This window comes from Homo sapiens, chromosome 8 (genome assembly GCF_000001405.40).
Source record: "Homo sapiens chromosome 8, GRCh38.p14 Primary Assembly".
Classification (NCBI taxonomy): domain Eukaryota; kingdom Metazoa; phylum Chordata; class Mammalia; order Primates; family Hominidae; genus Homo; species Homo sapiens.
Window position 1 is genome coordinate 59,173,119 of NC_000008.11, and position 5,768 is coordinate 59,178,886.

The following is a 5,768-nucleotide window of genomic DNA, read 5'->3' on the forward strand; positions in this document are numbered from 1 at the left end:
AATCTGACAATTATGTGTCTTGGAGTTGCTCTTCTCGAGGAGTATCTTTGTGGCGTTCTCTGTATTTCCTGAATCTGAACATTGGCCTGCCTTGCTAGATTGGGGAAGTTCTCCTGGATAATATCCTGCAGAGTGTTTTCCAACTTGGTTCCATTGTCCCCATCACTTTCAGGTACACCAATCAGACGTAGATTTGGTCTTTTCACATAGTCCCATATTTCTTGGAGGCTTTGCTCATTTCTTTTTATTCTTCTTTCTCTAAACTTCCCTTCTCGCTTCATTTCATTCATTTCATCTTCCATCACTGATACCCTTTCTTCCAGTTGATCGCATCGGCTCCTGAGGCTTCTGCATTCTTCACGTAGTTCTCGAGCCTTGGTTTTCAGCTCCATCAGCTCCTTTAAACACTTCTCTGTATTGGTTATTCTAGTTATACATTCCTCTAAATTTTTTTCAAAGTTTTCAACTTCTTTGCCTTTGGTTTGAATGTCCTCCTGTAGCTCAGAGTAATTTGATCGTCTGAAGCCTTCTTCTCTCAGCTCGTGAAAGTCATTCTCCATCCAGCTTTGTTCTGTTGCTGGTGGGGAACTGTGTTCCTTTGGAGGAGGAGAGGCACTCTGCTTTTTAGAGTTTCCAGTTTTTCTGTTCTGTTTTTTCCCCATCTTTGTGGTTTTATCTACTTTTGGTCTTTGATGATGGTGATGTACAGATGGGTTTTTGGTGTGGATGTCCTTTCTGTTTGTTAGTTTTCCTTCTAACAGACAGGACCCTCAGCTGCAGGTCTGTTGGAATACCCTGCTGTGTGAGGTGTCAGTGTGCTCCTGCTGGGGGATGCCTCCCAGTTAGGCTGCTCGGGGGTCAGGGACCCACTTGAGGAGGCAGTCTGCCCGTTCTCAGATCTCCAGCTGCGTGCTGAGAGAACCACTGCTCTCTTCAAAGCTGTCAGACAGGGACATTTAAGTCTGCAGAGGTTACTGCTGTCTTTTTGTTTGTCTGAGCCCTGCCCCCAGAGGTGGAGCCTACAGAGGCAGGCAGGCCTCCTTGAGCTGTGGTGGGCTCCACCCAGTTCGAACTTCCCGGCTGCTTTGTTTACCTAATCAAGCCTGGGCAATGGCGGGCGCCCATCCCCCAGCCTCGCTGCCGCCTTGCAGTTTGATCTCAGACTGCTGTGCTAGCAATCAGCGAGACTCCATGGGCGTAGGACCCTCCGAGCCAGGTGCGGGATACACTCTCGTGGTGCGCTGTTTTTTAAGCCCGTCGGAAAAGCGCAGTATTCGGGTGGGAGTGACCCGATTTTCCAGGTGCCCTCAGTCACCCCTTTCTTTGACTCGGAAAGGGAACTCCCTGACCCCTTGAGCTTCCCAAGTAAGGCAATGCCTCGCCCTGCTTCGGCTCGCGCACGGTGCGCGCACCCACCGACCTGCGCCCACTGTCTGGCACTCCCTAGTGAGATGAACCTGGTACCTCAGTTGGAAATGCAGAAATCACCCGTCTTCTCCGTCACTCACGCTGGGAGCTGTAGACCGGAGCTGTTCCTATTCGGCCATCTTGGCTCCTCCCCTCATGTTGTCTTAATGGCAGTTTAATTATGCCTTTTATTTATTTTCTTTGCCTCATTTTGCTAAAATTTCTGGTAAATTGAAATTTGTTAAAATTTCTGGTAAATTGAAATTTGTTAAAATTTGTGGTAAATAAAAGGGTTTATAATGATGATCATTGTTTCCTTTTCAAGCTCAGAGAATGTTTTCAAGATTTCCTCATTGAATATATTGCATGCTATAGGCATAATTTTTAAAGATAATTCTTTGCCAGATTAAAATTAGTTTTTCTAGTTTTTTAAGAGTTTTTTTTTAAATAATGAATAAGTGTTGAATTTAGTGGAATGCTGTTTATATAATGATACAATCATATAATTTATATATTTTTTCTGTCATATTTCCTGATTTTCAAAAATATTTTAGTTGGCTATTAATTCTACTTCTGCACTTAGAATAAATAAAGATCAGATATAACAAGACTAATGAGAAGTTAGTCTACTTCCTGACTAAGGAAGGTTGCGTGTCTTCCTTCAAGTGTAATTTCAGCTCTCATTCTTTTGGGTCAGGCCTATGTATATATGGGTTAGGAAATGTGCTAAGAATTCTATCTATACCAGACATATGTAATTAATTGTATCTATATCCTGTGTTGAATTTAGGAAGCTGTGTATCTCTGGACCTTTAGCTTTACCATCTGTAACCCTCCTGCGTGCGCAAGCTTTAGGATTTGGTGTCCACTGGACAATTCTTGGAATATATGTATCTCTTTATCTCTAGGACTGGACTAATTTTGTATCCCAGACTACTTGTCTACGGCCTTGATCACCTGATTTGTTCTTGCTAACTTCTCCCCAAGGTCTGAAGCCCATTTTGTCTTACCCAGTTCTAAGTTGGCAGGACATCCCAGGAAAGTTATGTAAATATTATTCAGAACTGGCAGTATTAACAAGGACTTTCACCCCTTGTGGATCAGACCCTTAAATAGATATGTGCTTGAGTACAGCTATGCTTCTTTGGCCATTTTGATTTTATTACCCGGCTATATTTTGGGGAGCCAACTGAACAAGTGAGTTAATGACTCTAAATATGGCTTTTTCTTTACTTAGTTTATTTCTCCCTCTCTCTCCATCCCAGAGTGCTTTGTGGTTTTATATAGTTTTTAGGCACTTTTAAATATTTTAAAAACAGCCACCTAGTAAAGACCTACAGGACCACTGGGCATCTAATGCAGAAAACCAAGGAGAAGAAATCTCCCTCCGCTCTCTACGGTCATAGCAAGTCCAGTTCAGGTTTACCAATAGAAGAATTGTTTTTATATATGGAAGTATCCATTTTCTTTATGAAGAAATGCATGATTTGAAATTCTTGGCCTCTCTTATCTGTAACTGATCACAATCAATCTCTGTGAACAGGCTGGAGTGAAAGAAGAGAAAGATGATGGTGGGAGGTGCCTCACCTTGAAAGTGTCCTACGCTGTAACACTTTTAATATGTTAAGGGAACACTCAGGTAGTCATGATTTCTTGGAAGGAAGGTCAAAGAAGGCCTGAAGATTAATTTCTGGAACACTTTTCACTTTCTTCTGATTGTATGATAAATAAGACTAAAGGATTTCCCTCCTATTGAGGCACACTTATGATGGTCTTGCCCCGAGCCTCCCTTTGCATGAGACAAAGAAGGAGTTTAGTAGGATTTGGAAGACTCTTCCACAGGGTTGTTAGGATTAGGCACCTTGTAGCTTCCAGGTCACCTCAGTTTACATAGGCTATACCAGGTGAAAAATGTTCAGGTTTTTTTTTCTGCCCCAACTGTCACTCAATTTTGGTTATAACTACTACTTAGCTATTAAAGTTAACAGTCTTTGAAAGATTTTTACAAAGTTTAATCTGCATTTATCCATGTAAGAGTCAATTTAACTCAATATAATTGCCACTTCTAAAACCATGTATAATTGAGATACATAGTCATATATTACCATAAGTATCAAGATGATTTTAGTTTTGATTTTGTTATAATTTGTTAACTAAAATAATGTACTACTGCAAATGGATTTTTTTAAAGTTTTTAAATACTTTTTTAAGAATTGTGAACATTTTACGTGTAGAAAACTTTTATTATAAATAATTTGGTTATACATATTACCAAAATAAGAGAAGAGAATTGCTTTCCTAATAATAGGGTATGTTTCCTGTGATGGGTAGGTGTCCGATATAAGCTAAATAAATTACAAGTAACACCTTTACCTTGCTGCAGGTGAATAAATAAAGTGACAGTGAAATAAATTATTTCTTGCTGGCCAAGAACAGAGTCAACCTTCCTTAATAAGGTAATGAAGCAACAGAGCAATACTTTATTTGCTTTTCACCTTTAGTCTGGAAAGATCATATCTCAAGGCAAGTCAGCTCTCCTCTCTGGAATTACAGAAAATATAACAATATCATTGCTTGCATTTTAATTCATATATTCATTCTGCAATAATTCCATTAATTCTAAAATAAAATATTCTATATATTAAAAGATGCTTTAATACCAAATTACAAGTTTTTATTACCAAATTATATGAATCTAAAGATCGGTTATTTTTTAAAGACACAAAATATTTACATTATGCATATCTGTGCAAGCCTAGCAAAAAGTACAGTTTTAGAAAAATAAAGCATTTTTACTTTATTATTTATTTATTTATTTGAGACAGAGTCTCTCTGTCGCCCAGGCTGGAGTGCAATGGCTCAATCTCAGCTCACTGCAACCTCCACCTCCCGGGTTCAAGTGATTCTCACGCCTCAGCCTCCCAAGTAGCTGGGACTACAGGTGTGTGCCACCACGTTTGGCTAATTTTTGTATTATTAGTAGACACAGGGCTTCACCATGTTGGCCAGGCTGGTCTTGAACTCCTGACCTCAAGTGATCTGCTTGCCTTGGCCTCCCAAAGTGCTGGGATTACAGACGTAAGCCACCATGCCTGGCCTATTTGCTTTTTTTTTTTTTTTTACGTTATTATACCTGTCTGTGTTTTTTGTTGTTGTTATTTAATGTTTCTTTATATGTTTATTCTAATAAAATAACCATAACAAAATTTACCATCTAAACCATTTTTAAGGGTACAGTTCAGTGGCAGTAAGTACATTCATATTGTTGTGTAGTCATCACCACCATCCTTTTCCAAAACGTTTCGTCTTCCCAGACTGAAACTCCATACTATTAAATAATAACTTCCCATTCTCCTCTGCCTCCAACCCCTACAAATCCCCATTCTACTGTCTGTCTCTATGAATTTGACTACTTTGGGTACCTCATATGAGTGGACTCATCTAATATTTCTTTTTTTGTGGCTGGCTTATTTCACTTAGCATAACGTTAATACTTTTCTGTTTGCTTGTTTGTTTATAATAGCCATCCTAACATGTGTGAGATGAACTCATTGTGGTTTTGATGTGCATTTCCTTATTGATTAGTGATGTTGAGCATCTTTTCAAGTACTTACTGGCCACCTGTATTTCTTCTTTGGAGACATGTCTATTCGTTATTTGACCATTTTAAAATTGTATTTTTTGATTTTTTTGTTCTTGAGCTATAAGAGGTTTTAAAAAATATATTTTGGATATTTATACTTTATTAGATATATGATTTGTAAATATTTCCTCTCTGTGTTTTCTTTTCACTCGTTAATGGTGTCCTGTCGTACACAGTTTTGATGAAGTCTAATGTATCTGTATTTCTTTTGTTGCCTGTACTTTTGGTGTCATATCCAAGAAATAATTGCTAAATCCAATGTCATGAATCTTTTCTCCTGTGTTTTGTTCTAAAATTTTGTAGTTTTCATACTCATGTTTAGATTTTTGAAACAATTTGAGTTAATTTTTATATATAGTGTAAAGTAAGAGTCCAACTTTATTCTTTGGATGTGACTATCTATTTTTCCAGCACCATTTGTTGAAAAACCTGTCCTTTCCCTTTTAATGGTTTTGGCACTCTTATCAAAAATCTTTTGACCATATATATGATGGTTTATTTCTGGGCTTTCTATTCTTTGATCTCTATATCTGTCTTAATGTTGGTGCCACACAGTTTTGATTACTGTAACTTTGTAGTAAGTTTTGAAATCAGGAAGTGTTAGTCCTTCCTTTGTTCTTTTTCAAGATTGCTTTGACTATTTGGGATCCATGAGATTCCATATATATTCTGTGGTGAATTTTTCTATTTCTGCAAAATATGTCATTGGGATTGAAGC

The 5,768-nt window shown here is 38.1% G+C and overlaps 1 annotated feature.

Annotated features, from left to right (window-relative positions):
• Positions 760-1,351: an enhancer, noted in NCBI's record as "OCT4-NANOG-H3K27ac-H3K4me1 hESC enhancer chr8:60086437-60087028 (GRCh37/hg19 assembly coordinates)". NCBI's record gives its function as "activates a minimal SCP1, AML or CMV promoter by ChIP-STARR-seq in naive H9 embryonic stem cells {active_cell/tissue: H9 hESC(naive)}" and the evidence as "EXISTENCE:reporter gene assay evidence [ECO:0000049][PMID:30033119]".